Below are 15,894 nucleotides of genomic sequence, written 5' to 3'. Positions count from 1 at the left end.
GCACAATGTGCAGGTTTGTTACATATTTATACATGTGCCATGTTGGTGTGCTGCACCCATTAACTCATCATTTAGCATTAGGTATATCTCTTAATGCTATCCCTCCCCCATCCCCCCACCCCACAACAGTCCCTGGTGTGTGATGTTCCCATTCCTGTGTCCATGTGTTCTCATTGTTCAATTCCCACCTATGAGTGAGAACACGCGGTGTTTGGTTTGTTGTCCTTGCGATAGTTTGCTGAGAATGATGGTTTCCAGCTTCATCCATGTCCCTAGAAATGACATGAACTCATCATTTTTTATGGCTGCATAGTATTCCATGGTGTATATGTGCCACATTTTCTCAATCCAGTCTATCATTGTTTGACATTTGGGTTGGTTCCAAGTCTTTGCTATTGTGAATAGTGCCACAATAAACATACGTGTGCATGTGTCTTTATAGCAGCATGATTTATAATCCTTTGGGTATATACCCAGTAATGGGATGGCTGGGTCAAATGGTATTTCTAGTTCTAGATCCCTGAGGAATCGCCACACTCCCTTCCACAATGGTTGAACTAGTTTACAGTCCCACCAACAGTGTAAAAGTGTTCCTATTTCTCCACATCCTCTCCAGCACCTGTTGCTTCCTGACTTTTTAATGATCGCCATTCTAACTGGTGTGAGATGGTATCTCATTGTCGTTTTGATTTGCATTTCTCTGATGGCCAGTGATGATGAGCATTTTTTCATGCGTCTTTTGGCTGCATAAATGTCTTCTTTTGAGAAGTGTCTGTTCATGTCCTTTGCCCACTTTTTGATGGGGTTATTTGTTTTTTTCTTGTAAATTTGTTTGAGTTCATTGTAGATTCTGGATATTAGCCATTTGTCAGATGAGTAGGTTGCAAAAATTTTGTCCCATTCTGTAGGTTGCCTGTTCACTCTGATGGTAATTTCTTTCACTCTGCAGAAGCTCTTTAGTTTAATTAGATCCCATTTGTCAATTTTCGCTTTTGTTGCCATTGCTTTTGGTGTTTTAGACATGAAGTCCTTGCCCATGCCTATGTCCTGAATGGTATTGCCTAGGTTTTCTTCTAGGGTTTTTATGGTTTTAGGTCTAACATTTAAGTCTTTAATCCATCTTGAATTAATTTTTGTATAAGGTGTAAGGAAGGGATCCAGTTTCACCTTTCTACATATGGCTAGCCAGTTTTCCCAGCACCATTTATTAAATAGGGAATCCTTTCCCCATTGCTTGTTTTTGTCAGGTTTGTCAAAGATCAGATAGTTATAGATATGCGGCATTATTTCTGAGGGTTCTGTTCTGTTCCATTGGTCTATATCTCTGTTTTGGTACCAGTACCATGCTGTTTTGGTTACTGTAGCCTTGTAGTATAGTTTGAAGTCAGGTAGCATGATGCCTCCAGCTTTGTTCTTTTGGCTTAGGATTGACTTGGCAATGCAGGCTCTTTTTTGGTTCCATACGAACTTTAAAGTAGTTTTTTCCAATTCTGTGAAGAAAGCCATTGGTAGCTTGATGGGGATGGCATTGAATCTGTAAATTACCTTGGGCAGTATGGCCATTTTCACGATATTGATTCTTCCTACCCACGAGCATGCAATGTTCTTCCATTTGTTTGTATCCTCTTTAATTTCATTGAGCAGTCGTTTGTAGTTCTCCTTGAAGAGATCCTTCACATCCCTTGTAAATTGGATTCCTAGGTATTTTATTCTCTTTGAAGCAATTGTGAATGGGAGTTCACTCATGATTTGGCTCTCTGTTTGTCTGTTATTGGTGTATAAGAACGCTTGTGATTTTTGCATATTGATTTTGTATCCCGAGACTTTGCTGAAGTTGCTTATCAGCTTAAGGAGATTTTGGGCTGAGATAATGGGGTTTTCTAGATATACAATCATGTCATCTCCAAACAGGAACAATTTGACTTCCTCTTTTCCTAATTAAATATCCTTTATTTCCTTCTCCTGCCTGATTGCCCTGGCCAGAACTTCCAACACTATGTTGAATAGGAGTGGTGAGAGAGGGCATCCCTGTCTTGTGCCAGTTTTCAAAGGGAATACTTCCAGTTTTTGTCCATTCAGTATGATATTGGCTGTGGCTTTGTCATAGACAGCTCTTATTATGTTGAGATACATCCCATCAATACCTAATTTATTGAGAGTTTTTAGCATGAAGTGTTGTTGAATTTTGTCAAAGGCGTTTTCTGCATGTATTGAGATAATCATGTGGTTTTTGTCTTTGGTTCTGTTTATATGCTGGATTACATTTATTGATTTTCGTATGTTGAACCAGCCTTGCATCCCAGGGATGAAGCCCACTTGATCGTGGTGGATAAGCTTTTTGATGTGCTGCTGGATTCGGTTTGCCAGTATTTTATTGAGGATTTTTGCATCGATGTTCATCAAGGATATTGGTCTAAAATTCTCTTTTTTTGTTTTGTCTCTGCCAGGCTTTGGTATCAGGATGATGCTGGCCTCATAAAATGAGTTAGGGAGGATTCCCTCTTTTTCTATTGATTGGAATAGTTTCAGAAGGAATGGTACCAACTCCTCCTTGTACCTCTGGTAGAATTCAGCTGTGAATCCGTCTGGTCCTGGACTTTTTTGGTTTGGTAAGCTATTAATTATTGCCCCAATTTCAGAGCCTGTTATTGGTCTATTCAGAGATTCAGCTTCTTCCTGGTTTAGTCTTGGGAGAGTATATGTGTCCAGGAATTTATCCATATCTTCTAGATTTTCTAGTTTATTTGCGTAGAGGTGTTTATAGTATTCTCTGATGGTAGTTTGTATTTCTCTGGGATCGGTGGTGATACCCCCTTTATCATTTTTTATTGCATCTATTTGATTCTTCTCTCTTTTCTTCTTTATTAGTCTTGCTAGTGGTCTATCAATTTTGTTGGTCTTTTCAAAAAACCAGCTCCTGGATTCACTGATTTTTTGAAGGGTTTTTTGTGTCTCTATTTCCTTCAGTTCTGCTCTGATCTTAGTTATTTCTTGCCTTCTGCTAGCTTTTGAATGTTTGCTCTTGCTTCCCTACTGAAAAAAGATGATCATATTTTGCAATGCAAGGACATGAGAATTTTGGGCTCGAGAGTGCAATGATATAGTTTAGATGTTTTCCCTTCCAAATGTCATGGTGAAATGTGATTCTCAATGTTGGAGGTGGGACCGACTGGGAGGTTTTGGGTCATGGGGAAAGATCCTTCAGGAATGGCTTGGGAACCACCCCATGGCACTTAGTGAATTCTTGCTGTGTTAGCTACTATGAGATCTGATTGTTAAAAAGAGTCTGGCAACCCTTCTTGCCACTCATGTCCCAGCTCTCACCATGTGACATAGCCTGTTCCCCCTTTGCCTTCCATCATGATTGTAAAGCAGATCCTGGTGCCATGCTTCTCACACAGCCTTCAGAACTGTAAGCCAAATGTGCCTCTTTTCTTTGTAAATCACTTGGCCTCAGGTATTAATTTATAGGAATGCAAAAGAGACTAACACACCGTCCAAAGCATTACACAGATTCAACTCTATTTTTATCAAATGACCAATATAATTGATTACATATTTAGAAAAAAATACTAAAATTCCTACAGAATCAAAAAAGAGTCTGAATAGCAAAAGCAATCCTAAGCAAAAAGACCGAAGCTGGAAGCACCACATTCTCTGACCTCAAATTATACTACATGAATATAATAAGAAAGACAGCATGCTACTAGTAGAAAAAAATAGCCCAGAAAGAAAGCCAAATATCTAAAACCAACTGTTGTTTGACAAAACTGACAAAAATATACACTGGAGAAACAACCCTCTATTCAATAAGTGGTGCCGGGAAAATTAGGTGGCTTATGTGGAAGAATAGAACGAGACTTCCATATCACCGTAGACACAAATTAACTGAATATGGATTCAGTGTTTAAATTTATAAACTAAAACTATAAAAATACTTGAATAAAATCTAAAAAGAGTCCTCTGGACATTGGTCTAAGCAAACAATATACGACTAAGACTTCAAAAGCAAATGCAATAAAAACAGAAGTAGACAAACAGGATTTAGTTGAACTAAAGGTCTTCTGCACAGCAAAAGAAATAACCAACATGGTGACCAGACAATCTGCAAATGGAAAAAATATCTGGAATCTATTCATCTTGCAAAGGGCTAATATATAGAATCTACAAGTAACTCAAATAAGTCAACTAAAAATTACAAATAACTTCATTAAAGAATAGACATAAACAGACATTTATCAAAAGAATACACAGAAGTGGCCAACACAAATAAGAAAATATACTCAGCATCACCAATCATCTGATAAATGTAAATTAGAAACAACATGATACGGCATCTTCCACCAGTCAGAATGGCTGTTATTACAAATAAAAACAGCAGGTTTTGCAGACAAACATAGGAAAAATAATGATTTATATATGCTTGGTGAGAATGTAAATTAGTACAACCTCCATGAAAAACAACATAGAAATTTCTCAAAGAACTAAAATTAGAATTACCATTTCTTCCAGTAAGCTGTCCCAGTAGGCATGTTCCTCCCAAACTTTTATATCAGAGAATGTTGCCTGCACTCATATGTTTATTTCAACACCATTTTCAATAGAAAAGTCAAATAATCTAAGTGTCAATCAGTGGATGATTAGATAAAATATGATATATGTAAATCATGGAATACTATGCAGCCAGTATGGTATGAATTCAGTGTGACCAGCCCCTGGACAAGGGCTTGAGTGGATGGGATGGATCATCACCTACACTGGGAACCCAACATATACCAACGGCTTCACAGGACGGTTTCTATTCTCCATGGACACCTCTGTCAGCATGGCGTATCTGCAGATCAGCAGCCTAAAGGCTGAGGACACGGCCGTGTATGACTGTATGAGAGACACAGTGTGGAAACCCACATCCCGAGGGAGTCAGAAACCCCGAGGGAGGAGGCAGCTGTGCTGAGCTGAGGCAGTGGTGCAGCAGTTTCTTTAACTTCCATATGATCTCATTTTGCATCATCTTCTACTTTTATATTAGCTAAGAACTTGGGGTAGACAGGTGCTCCTAAGAGATCCTTAACTTGCCCATTTTGATGGGTTTTCCAGAAGACGTGAGAAGCCACTTTGTTAGCAAAGCATCCCAAATCCATGCCCTGTTCTAGATACATGTGAGCCCATTTCCTGGTCTTTGCTTAACTGACAAGCTCTCATCAGTGCACCTGGGCTAATTTCACATCAGGTAGAGGAACGCGTTATAAAGGAAAGCTAATGTTGTAATAGCAATTCCTGCTTAAAAACCTTCAGCTTCATTGTTTTTGTGTAATCCATCAGCAAATTATGTTAGTTCAAGGTTCTCAATGGGAGTTTCTAATAAATAGAAAGGATGTATAGAGCTTCCCCTAATTAAAATGAAACAATTGTGAACACAACCTCGGTATTCAGCCATGTCTCCACCCTTCACACCCTTCGCCACAAAGGAATTTTCACCTCTCCTGGAAGCTGGGTTCATTTTCAAATTAGTTATTTTTTTCAATGTAATATCTCAAGATTATCGTATATGACTATTTTAGCAGAAAGTGAATTATGGGAACTTGAACTAAACAACTGAAAACAAATTCACAACTAATTAAACAAGATGCCAGAATGTGATTGGCTCCAGGCTTTGTAATTCAGCAGTTCATGTACCCAGACTGGAAATTTACATGTCTTCTTGTTACCTTCACAGCACAGTCAACTCCCATTATGTAAGAAATGGTGACTGCATTCCCAAGGGTTATGCATAGATATGAAAATAGACTGGGTAAGGTGAGGAGTTGATTGTTTAAATTCCCCTCTGAAGAAGCAGCATCAACTCAACAAACCACCTCTCTTCACTCTGTGACTAGAGCTATGTCACAGGCCACATGGACCTAAATCCTTGATGGATATAACATGACTACATAAATTGGGCTGATCATTTTTATGCTATAAAATTAATAGATGACACTGCACTCCAGCCTGCACAACCAAGCAAGTCTTCATCTGTAAAATCTAAAAAAGAAAAATTAGTAGGTACTGACTTCGAAATTTTTGATAATAATATTTTCACCACCCAAATTTAATCACACCCACATGTTACCTGCATCTTCACTGAAAAGTTCCCAGTCACGATGAGTTCCTTCAATGCTCCATGTGTTCAAATCTGGACATCAAGAGAGTCCAGAGAATAAAACACAATGACGGCAGTGAAACTGATATATATTCAGCACCTCTTAACTCAGGAGGACTCCATACACCCTGGCACACAGCTGCTTTTCTAAATGGCTCACAATGACTCCAGCTCACTCACAGAGCTCAGACAGAAACCTCCCTTCAGGGTGGGAGCTGGGTGGCAGGGGGCACTCAGTACCCGCAGAGGTGAAAATGAGCTTTCAGATGGAACTTCCCTGTCACCTCAACATGGAATTTATTGTTTCATTTCATTACCTCTCTTTCCATAATGGTTCATTTCTTTTGGCCTGTTCATTACTGATATTTTTCAGAGCAATCTCACTTGAATCTTTACTCTTTTGCATTTTGTCTCCTTGACAATGTTGGGAAGTTTTACCTCCAGCATCATAACATGATCTAGTGATCTGACACATTGTGCAAACAATACCTACAAATTCAGAACCTCTTTGTTTTTCTTTCCACAAAATATAATTCTTTCTGTTCTGTGTATGAGCATGTCTTAGCAACCCTGTACACACCCACATAGATGTCTACAAGCCTATGAATTGTTCTCTGTAAATAAAAATTTATCTCAAATTCCTTCAATGTTCATAATTCTGAGAGTGAGGAAGGTCCTTCTCAATCTGTTCAAACAAAATGCCCAGAGACCATCCAGTAGGTAAGGAGTTCACCTGGCTCTGGTGTGGGGTCTGTCTCTTTCCCTCTGTTGTCCCACAGGTCAGCCCAGTTGTTCACGTCCTAACAAGAAAGCCCAGGTTTGTCCTGATTTTAAAACACATCAAACTTCTGATGACTCTCCTGTTACCCACATCCATGGAGATAGATTATTTATTATATAATTCAGCAAACTAATGTCAAATGCCCAAGTTGCAATACCGCACATCCTAGGGTATGTTCATGCAATTCAATGGAGGAGAAAATCTTTCAGAGACAGATGGATCTGAAATGATAAATATGTGGGTAAGGACTCTGGGCTTGAGTATCATTGTCCAGCCATGTTTCACAAGTGTGTCCTGTCAGGGAAGGATCAGAGTTCCTTGTGCTGTCAGAGGGAAGGGGTCACAGAGTTCCTCTCTGGTTCCCAGGAAAGGTAATCGCACTAATCTTCATGATCTTCATGAGACTATCCTCCAGTGCTGACCTGTTACGGAGTTTTTGTCTGAAGTTCTCACTGCAATCCCCAATCTACATATTTTCAATCAGAAGTGTTTAGAGGCCAGGACACATCTTCAAGGTCACACATTGAGAAGGATGGAGATATGTCCCACTACCTTCTCCTACGATCTCAGACAGAATCCCAAATTTCAAAAGGACACAGAAGGACAGCTCTCAGGTGCTTTTAAAAAATGACCCACTTCCAGGGACAGTGAGCTTCCCTGTAACCATGGTGGATGTTCTGAACTACAATAAACATTGGATGGATCCAGTATTGTTTGAAGTCACTGTCATTATTACATTCAGCTGTTGTTTCAATGTGTCTGAAAGGGTAAATGACTATTTAGATGGCCTGGGTGTGTGGTTGGTTTTATATGAATCTTTAAGGGTTGAACAGTACTGACCCTATTCCAAAATCTGTCCTTGATCCAGGATCACACTCATCTCTCAGACCAGCTCCTTCAGCACATCTCTTTACCTGGAAGAAGAGGACTCTGGGCTTGGAGAGGGGAGGCCCCAAGAAGAGAACTGAGTTCTCAAAGGGCACAGCCAGCATTCTCCTCCCAGGGTGAGCTCAAAAGACTGGCGCCTCTCTCATCCCTTTTCACTGCTCCGTACAAACGCACCACCCCCATGCAAATCCTCACTTAGGCGCCCACAGGAAGCCACCACACATTTCCTTAAATTCAGGTCCAACTCATAAGGGAAATGCTTTCTGAGAGTCATGGATCTCATGTGCAAGAAAATGAAGCACCTGTGGTTCTTCCTCCTGCTGGTGGCGGCTCCCAGATGTGAGTGTTTCTAGGATGCAGACATGGAGATATGGGAGGCTGCCTCTGATCCCAGGGCTCACTGTGGGTTTTTCTGTTCACAGGGGTCCTGTCCCAGCTGCAGCTGCAGGAGTCGGGCCCAGGACTGGTGAAGCCTTCGGAGACCCTGTCCCTCACCTGCACTGTCTCTGGTGGCTCCATCAGCAGTAGTAGTTACTACTGGGGCTGGATCCGCCAGCCCCCAGGGAAGGGGCTGGAGTGGATTGGGAGTATCTATTATAGTGGGAGCACCTACTACAACCCGTCCCTCAAGAGTCGAGTCACCATATCCGTAGACACGTCCAAGAACCAGTTCTCCCTGAAGCTGAGCTCTGTGACCGCCGCAGACACGGCTGTGTATTACTGTGCGAGACACACAGTGAGGGGAGGTGAGTGTGAGCCCAGACAAAAACCTCCCTGCAGGGAGGCTGAGGGGGCGGGCGCAGGTGCAGCTCAGGGCCAGCAGGGGGCGTGCGGAGCTCACGGAATACAAGGCCGGGTCAGGAGCAGGTGCAGGGTGAGCGGGGCTTGCTCATCTTCTCAGAGATCATCATCTCCCTCCTCGCCAGCACCTCAGCTTTCCGTAGAGGTCCTCTTTCTTTATTGTGTGTGGTTCTACTTCCTCACATCCTTGTGCCAGGAAAGAAAGGAGTAAGGCAAATTTTCCTGTTACAATTGAAGTTTCACCAATTACTAAGAACTTTCCTGCAAGTACCTGCACAGCCCATTATACCTTATTTATATATGTATATATTCTAATGCTTCTCACCATCTCTTGATTTGTGTCATCAATTTAATTGTGCCCTTTTTGAAATTCATATGCTGAAACTTTAAATCCAATGGATCTATATCGGAATTTTAATGGTATAATTAATGTTAAATGTGGTCATAAATGAGACCCTAATGCAATAGAGCTGTTGTCTTTATAAGAAGAGGAAGAGACACCAGATACCTCTCACTTCTCACATGCACTCAGAGAAGAGGCCACGTGGAGACATAGTGCACTAGAAGGTGGGCCTCTGCAAGCCAGGAAGAAGCCGCACCAAGAACCAACCCTGCCAGCACCTTGATCTTCTACATTCAGACTGCAGAATTGTAAGAAAATCAATATTTGTTGTTTAAGCCACCCACTCCTTTTGTCTTCTTACGAAGACCCAGACAGGCTAATACCACACAACTCTGTTAGCTCCATCTCCTGGAGGGAGAAGCAGCCCCCTGAAGCTGGGCACATCGCTCAGATTTTCACATGAATTAGGCAAAAACAGTAGCTCTCATATAAAAACTGTCACGTCCCTGTTGGGACAAGGTCTTTTAAACAAGCCCTGGGGCTTTGTCACAAATGTTGCATTTTATCCTTTATTAGGACTTAATTAATTGACAATGAGTACCAGCTGGATGGAAACTGACCACTGACCATCTTCTGCTGTCTCCTTATTATATCACAGAAAACCACAGCAACATTACTCTATGTCTTCAACTTTCTAAATTTGTACTGAATCTATTGCTAAATGAGGAGCTACATGGGGTCTGAGTTTTGTTACCTTCTTCCCAGTCTTCCCCAATTACCAAGCATAGAAGATACTTTCAGTGAAATTTAGCTGTCAATGCCCCCAACACCACATCATGTTTTAAGGTCCAAGGACTTTCTTTGGGGGGCTATTGAAAAACACTTTTGAATGGAAAATCCTAAAGCATACAACAGCTGAAAGAATGGCCCCTGTGCACATGAAGGCTGAAGGGGTGGATGATAGGGTACGTTCCTCCAAGGTGTTCCTGGGCATGTGATGGTTGGATACCTCATGCATACGAAAACAAGGACTGAACTGAGATAGAAACAAGGGCCATATCCTATAGGAAAACAAGAAAAAAAGGGGCATCCCTGAAGAGAGTTAATTAGACTTGGTGGGTTTAAGATGAAATTTTTTCCAAAGTTTTTTAATGTTCTAAGCTAAATATGAATATTTTCAATAAACTGCAAATTAAAAGGAGAATGAATTTAGAAGTTTAGACAGAAAAAAGCCATGAGGGTGTAGAAAGCAAATCCACAAAAAACTGTCACATGGCAGAGGCCAGAATGGAGCTGATGCAGCTACATCATTATTCTGCAGACCTAGTTGAGACCCTTTGGTGTTTAAGGCAGGTCCAGCAGTGAAGAACTCCTTTAGTTTTTGTCTGGGAAAGTTCTAATCTAATCTTCATTTCTGAAAAGGATTTACATGGTAAAGATTCGTCTTGGCAGGGTTTTATTTATTTTTAGTCCCCCCCAACCCACGTCAATTTGAGTAAAGTCATGTGTTACGTAACAATGCTGCAGTCAACAGTAGACCACATATATGTTTGTGGCCACATAATGTTGTAATACCATATTTTCACTAAACTTTTTCCATGTTTTGATGTGTTTAGATAGAGAGATACTTACCATGGTGTTTCCATTTCCTGCAGTGTTCAGTGCAGTAACACGCTGTACAGGTTAGTTGTCTGGGAACCCTGCGCTAATCCACATACCCTGTGTGTAGTAGGGTATTCCTTGTAGGTTTGTGAAAATTCACCCTTGATGCTTGCACAATGATGAAATTGCCCAGGGACACATTTCTCAAAAAGAACCTCTGTCAATAAACCACACACCATTGAATACAATCCCTGTGCCTTCTGAACTGAAAACCTTCTGCTGAGAAATCTGTTCCTTTTCTTTCTGTTTTCTAAAGCCTCTTTTATTTCCAGCAATGTGGTTTTAAACTGTGTCACATTTTTTGTCATTGGGTTTATCTTACGTAAAATTTATAGAGCTTCTTCATTGTGGATGAATATTTGCTTCCCTTCTCCAAATTTGGAAATATTTTTTGCTATTATTTTGAATAATTTATCTCTTCTCTCTCTCTCTCTCTCTCTCTCTCTCTCTCTCTCTCTCTCTCCCTCTCTCTCTCTCTCTCTCTCTCTCTCTCTCTCTCTCTCTCTCCCCCTCTCTCCCTTCACTACCCCTTTTGTCTTGTCTTTGTATAACTCCTCAAATGCGTAGTTGAGTGTTTAGTGTCTTTCCTGGCCCATAAGTCTTGAACTCTTTTTTATTTCTTTCACTTAAATTTTTCTTCTCTGTCTCTACTATTTCAAATGATCTTTCTTTGAGTTTACTGTTTCTTCTATTACTTGATCTAGTTTGGTCTAAAATCTTGTTAAAATTTTTGGCTGTATTCTTCAGGATCAATATTTTTGTTTAGTCATCTTTTAAATGTTTTATCTTTATTAAAATTCTCACATTGTTCTTGCATGCTGCCACTAGCTCATTGAACATGTTTCTAACATTTACTTTAAAGTTTCTGTCAGGTAATCCATGTTCTTCCTTTTCATTGATGTCAGTTTATGGACCTTTTGGTTGTTCTTCTGTTTGGACCATGTTCCCCTGCTTCTTCATTTTCCTTGACTGTCTTTGTTGTTATCTGTTCTTTATAACAAAAGCCATCATATACTTCTTCAAAGACTAGGCTCATAGAGATCACCCTCACCAATCAGCCCAGACAGTAATTGTGGGTCTCTCAAAACTTGATAGGATTCAAACTTCTGTCTGTTCTTAGTGGCCCCTAGGTTTTAGAGGATGATAGATTGTGCCAGGACTCACAGGTAAGGGAGGTAGAAACTATGTACTCATGACCATGGGGTCTGTGCTGATCTGAGCTTCTCTTGTCATCACTCTCAATATTCAACTTCCCCGTGGATCAGGCTCAGCTGTGGCTGCTCCACGTGGGGCTGTTCTCAGTCTGTTGCCTCTGTGTGTGCAGAAGTCCTCTGTGAAGTTAACTAGTGGAGTCAGACAGGAAAATACTACAGACCAAGAATTCTCAGACTGTTCTGCAAAGCCCCTGGATTCACTGAAAAAAGAACAAGTTTGGTCCAGCAGGATTCATGGCAAGTGTTGGTGAGGGAGATAACAGTAATTCAAGTGGAAGTTCTCAATGGGACTCGCCTTCAGTACAAAGAAGATTAACAGTCCTCAGAGACACTGTTCAGAAGATTCTCTTTTAAGATAATAAAACTGAGAGCCCAAGACAAGTCTGTGTATTACTGTGAGGGACACAGTGTGGGGACATCTATGTGAGCACAGACACAAAAGTCCCTGCAGGGAGACAGGAGGGGACTGCATGTTAGTTGCTGCTCAGAACCACCAGGGGGCATTCAGGACACCAGTAGGCACTCAGAACCACCAAGGAGAGCTCAGAATCACCAGGGGGCACTCAGGAAACTGGCAGGTGCTCAGAACCACCAAGGGGCGCTCAAGATCCCAGCGGGAGCTCATAACCACCAGGGGGCGCTCAGGACACTAGGGGGCTCAGAACCACTAGGGGGCGCCCAGGACCACCAGGTCTCTCAAGACAGGAGGGCGCACTCAGGACACTAGGGGGCGCTCAGAACCATCAGGGGGCAATCAGGACACCAGAGGGACTTCAGAACCACCAGGGGGCGCTGAGAACCACCAGGGGGTGCTCAGGACATGACCGGCCCTCAGGACCACCAGGGGATGTTCAGAACACCAGGAAGCACTCAGGACACCAGAGAGCGATCAGAACACCAGGGGGCACTCAGATCCTCCAGGGGGCACTCAGGACAACAGGGAGCTCTCAGGACACCAGGGTGAGCTCAGTAAACCAGTGTTCGCTCAGAACCACCAGGGAGCACTGAGGACACCACCGCTCCCTTAGGAGGCAGCTCCACATCAGGTCCCTGGATCCGGGCAGGGAGGGCGGTTCCTTTTGGATCTTGCCACTAACCTTTTGGGAGTTTTCCTGCTTCCTTTGTGGTTTCAAGAATCATTTGCAGATTCTTCTCATGTACAAAGCTCTGCTTTCTTGGATTATGTAATGTTTTTGGCTTTGGATGCTACCAGAATTACGTTGTACTGTGAGAGGATTCATTCGTGGTGTGTGCAATAGTGAATGAAAGCTCCAATGTTAGGGGTGGCTTTGAAAGCTACGTTAGGGGTGGCTGAGGGCAGTTAGCAGAAAATGATCATCACTATAGAAGGCTACTCATTTCTTTGCACATTTGCATAAACAATTGTAGTTTATGCCCTAAAAACTGCATGTTTTCTTGGCCCTTTTTCTTAAATGGCTCCACTCTAAGTCCAGTAATCTAATTAAGCTGTGTTTCAAAGACCACCAATCAAGTTAATTCTGTTTAATGCAACACTTTGTAAAGAAAATGTACATCTGTTTTTTAGAGTCAGCTTTAAATTTTACATTACTTTACAAATATTGATTTGTCAAATTTAGTCTCATAACTATCTTCAGTAATTTAAAATCTTAGTCATGTCATGTTAAATTAAGTAATCCTAGGTTTCTCACTTGAATTAGGGTTACTAAGAATTAGAATAGTAAAAGAGTATAATTAGCTTTTGGTGAGGTTTATAAAGAAAGATGAGGATTTTTTTTTTTTTTTGCTTAAAAATATTCTGTTTTCCAGTTTACAGGGCTTTTCAACTGGTTTTAAGATAACCACTGTTTACATCTAAACTTTTTTTTGTAAATGACTGCTGAGTTTCTATACATATTCCATAGCTAGAGTTTCAAAGTAAAAGCTCTAGTATCTTTGTATTAGTGTGTGTATGCGTAGATGTGTTAATATGTGCATGTATATATATGTGTGTGTGTGTGTGTGTGTGTGTGTGTGTGTGTTGTGGCTACTAGGTACAAAATTGGCTTTGAAATAAATATTTTCAAATTAAGTAAATGAGCCCAATGCATTTGAAGTACATGTGACTTAAATAAATATTTAATAAATAAGTTGGCTTTAAAATTATTGGTAAAAACAAATTAGAGATATTTTAACAATTATCAGCATACCTTATAGTTTATATTAATTCATCAAGTGATTTTATATTTAAAATCACAGCTAGATATTATATGGTGTCAAAATTTTTTATGATGATTATAAAATTATTAACCTCGTTGGCCATATGCGGTGGCTCACACCTGTAATCCCAGCTCTTTGGAAGGCTGAGGTGGGTGGATCACGAGGTGAGGAGATTGAGACCATCCTGGCTAACATGGTGAAACCCCATCTCTACTAAAAATACAAAAAGAAAAAAAAAATTAGCTGGGCATGCTGGCAGGCGCCTGTAATCCCAGCTACTCTGGAGGCTGAGGCAGGAGAATGCTTGAACCCCAGAGGTGGAGCTTGCAGTGAGCTGAGATCGCACCACTGTACTGCAGCCTGGATGACAGAGCGAGACTCCGTCTCAAAAAAAAAAATTATAAACCTCATTAAAACCAGAATGATCTTTGTAATTTTTTGACAAATATGATGTTTAATATTGTTGTTTTAATAAAAAACAGGTAAATAGTTATTAGAAAAACAATTATTTGCTTAATTATAAGGTTTTTACTCAGGCAAGCACCTGAAATTCATGGGTTATAACATGGTTAACAGAGAAAAAACTTTAAAGGATGAATTACAATTTTCATAAGTAATCTAGATAAGCTACTTAAATAAAATAGGGAAATGTAATCAAATAAACCTTTTAAATAAACTTGTTCTACAATTTAAAAATCTAAAGTTTAATTAAATAATAGATATTGACTAAATGTTTAGGTCATTACTAATTGTTTTAAAAAATATATAAGAAAATATTTTTCTTAAAAAATTATTCTTAGAAAAATAATGTAATTCAAAGTTATTTATATAACATCATAAAAAGTAAGAGAGTTTTAAAGAAATTTATTGACATAGAGAAGTACTTTTGGTAAGAAAGGTTAAAATAAAAAAATTTTATATGAGAAATAATCTTGCATGGTAATTTTTTATCCTAAAATAAAATGACTAAGAAAGAATGACGTTTAGAATAAAACAAGATGTTCAACTATGCCATAAATGGTTTGTGTAAGTGAAAATAAGATTTATAAAAAGTTAATTTATTAAAAAACCTTCATATTATCAAGTTGACTATAATTGAAAGGGAAGTATTTATAATAGTCTTTATAGAGATCTGGCTTTTATATAAAATATAGTAATACACTGAAGACTGGTTAGAATGACAAAATTGTCTTAAAGTGTTGATTTACTAAATAAAATTATAAGATATTTTAATTTTTTAACCCCCAAATTTAACTTTTATTGCATCTTGCCATTTTGATTTTTTCCCTTTGAGAAGACTTGAGAGGCTCTCCATTTTTTCATCACGTCCTTTAACATTTTTTTTCTTACAGCGATTAGCTTCTTACTGACTTAACTTCTAACTGTTGTTAGCTTTTAACTGCTATTATTGTCTGATGCTAAAAACATTTTATCTTTAAGTTCTAAATAAAATGTTTTCTTTCAATATAACATTCTACACTCTTGGCTTATCTTTAAATGTCTACATTTTTCTATGAAACCAAAGTCTTCACGTGTAATCTGAGTCACATTCTTGGTATGTCTAATTAATTCAAATGCTTTTTTCATTAGAGTTGACCTGCAGGTTATCTACATGCATTTTCCAATAGGGAAAAGCAATCACACTGTAAAAGGTTTTGCTTTGCTATTTGGTAACTGGCATAAAACAAATTTTATATTTTATTGAAATAATTCCTATGTTACTGTTATTAAGGTTTCCAACTTACTGAGATTTTAAGAAAATATAAATTAATGTTATTACATTCATGTAGCTATCTACATTACTTTTAAAGGCCTTGTGCTGCCACATTACTGACCTTTGACTCCTAGGTCTAAAAAGGACACACAGCATTTTGGGAGACTAAGGCAG

At 39.6% G+C, this 15,894-nt stretch overlaps 1 long non-coding RNA gene, 2 pseudogenes, 1 gene segment (V, D, J or C) and 1 further gene; 4 read left to right on the top strand and 1 right to left on the bottom strand.

The window, feature by feature from the left end:
• The window catches only part of IGH (immunoglobulin heavy locus), a 1,293,408-nt gene that overhangs the window by 449,596 nt on the left and 827,918 nt on the right, over nucleotides 1–15,894 (top strand).
• Nucleotides 1–15,894, bottom strand: part of LOC124903400 (uncharacterized) — a 45,163-nt gene that overhangs the window by 16,439 nt on the left and 12,830 nt on the right. The window lies entirely within an intron of this gene.
• Nucleotides 4,688–4,890, top strand: IGHV7-40 (immunoglobulin heavy variable 7-40 (pseudogene); annotated as a pseudogene). Its single transcript is given in 1 exon segment — nucleotides 4,688–4,890. A coding segment is annotated over 1 exon segment (203 nt).
• On the top strand, nucleotides 8,102–8,540 carry IGHV4-39 (immunoglobulin heavy variable 4-39). The segment is given in 2 exon segments: nucleotides 8,102–8,147; nucleotides 8,231–8,540. Coding segments are annotated over 2 exon segments (356 nt in total), but the record flags the coding sequence as incomplete, so codon positions are not given.
• Nucleotides 11,939–12,231, top strand: IGHVIII-38-1 (immunoglobulin heavy variable (III)-38-1 (pseudogene); annotated as a pseudogene). Its single transcript is given in 1 exon segment — nucleotides 11,939–12,231. A coding segment is annotated over 1 exon segment (293 nt).

This window comes from Homo sapiens, chromosome 14 (assembly GCF_000001405.40).
Source record: "Homo sapiens chromosome 14, GRCh38.p14 Primary Assembly".
Taxonomy (NCBI): domain Eukaryota; kingdom Metazoa; phylum Chordata; class Mammalia; order Primates; family Hominidae; genus Homo; species Homo sapiens.
Note: the sequence above shows the minus strand (reverse complement) of the source record. Positions and strands in the feature narration are given on the sequence as shown.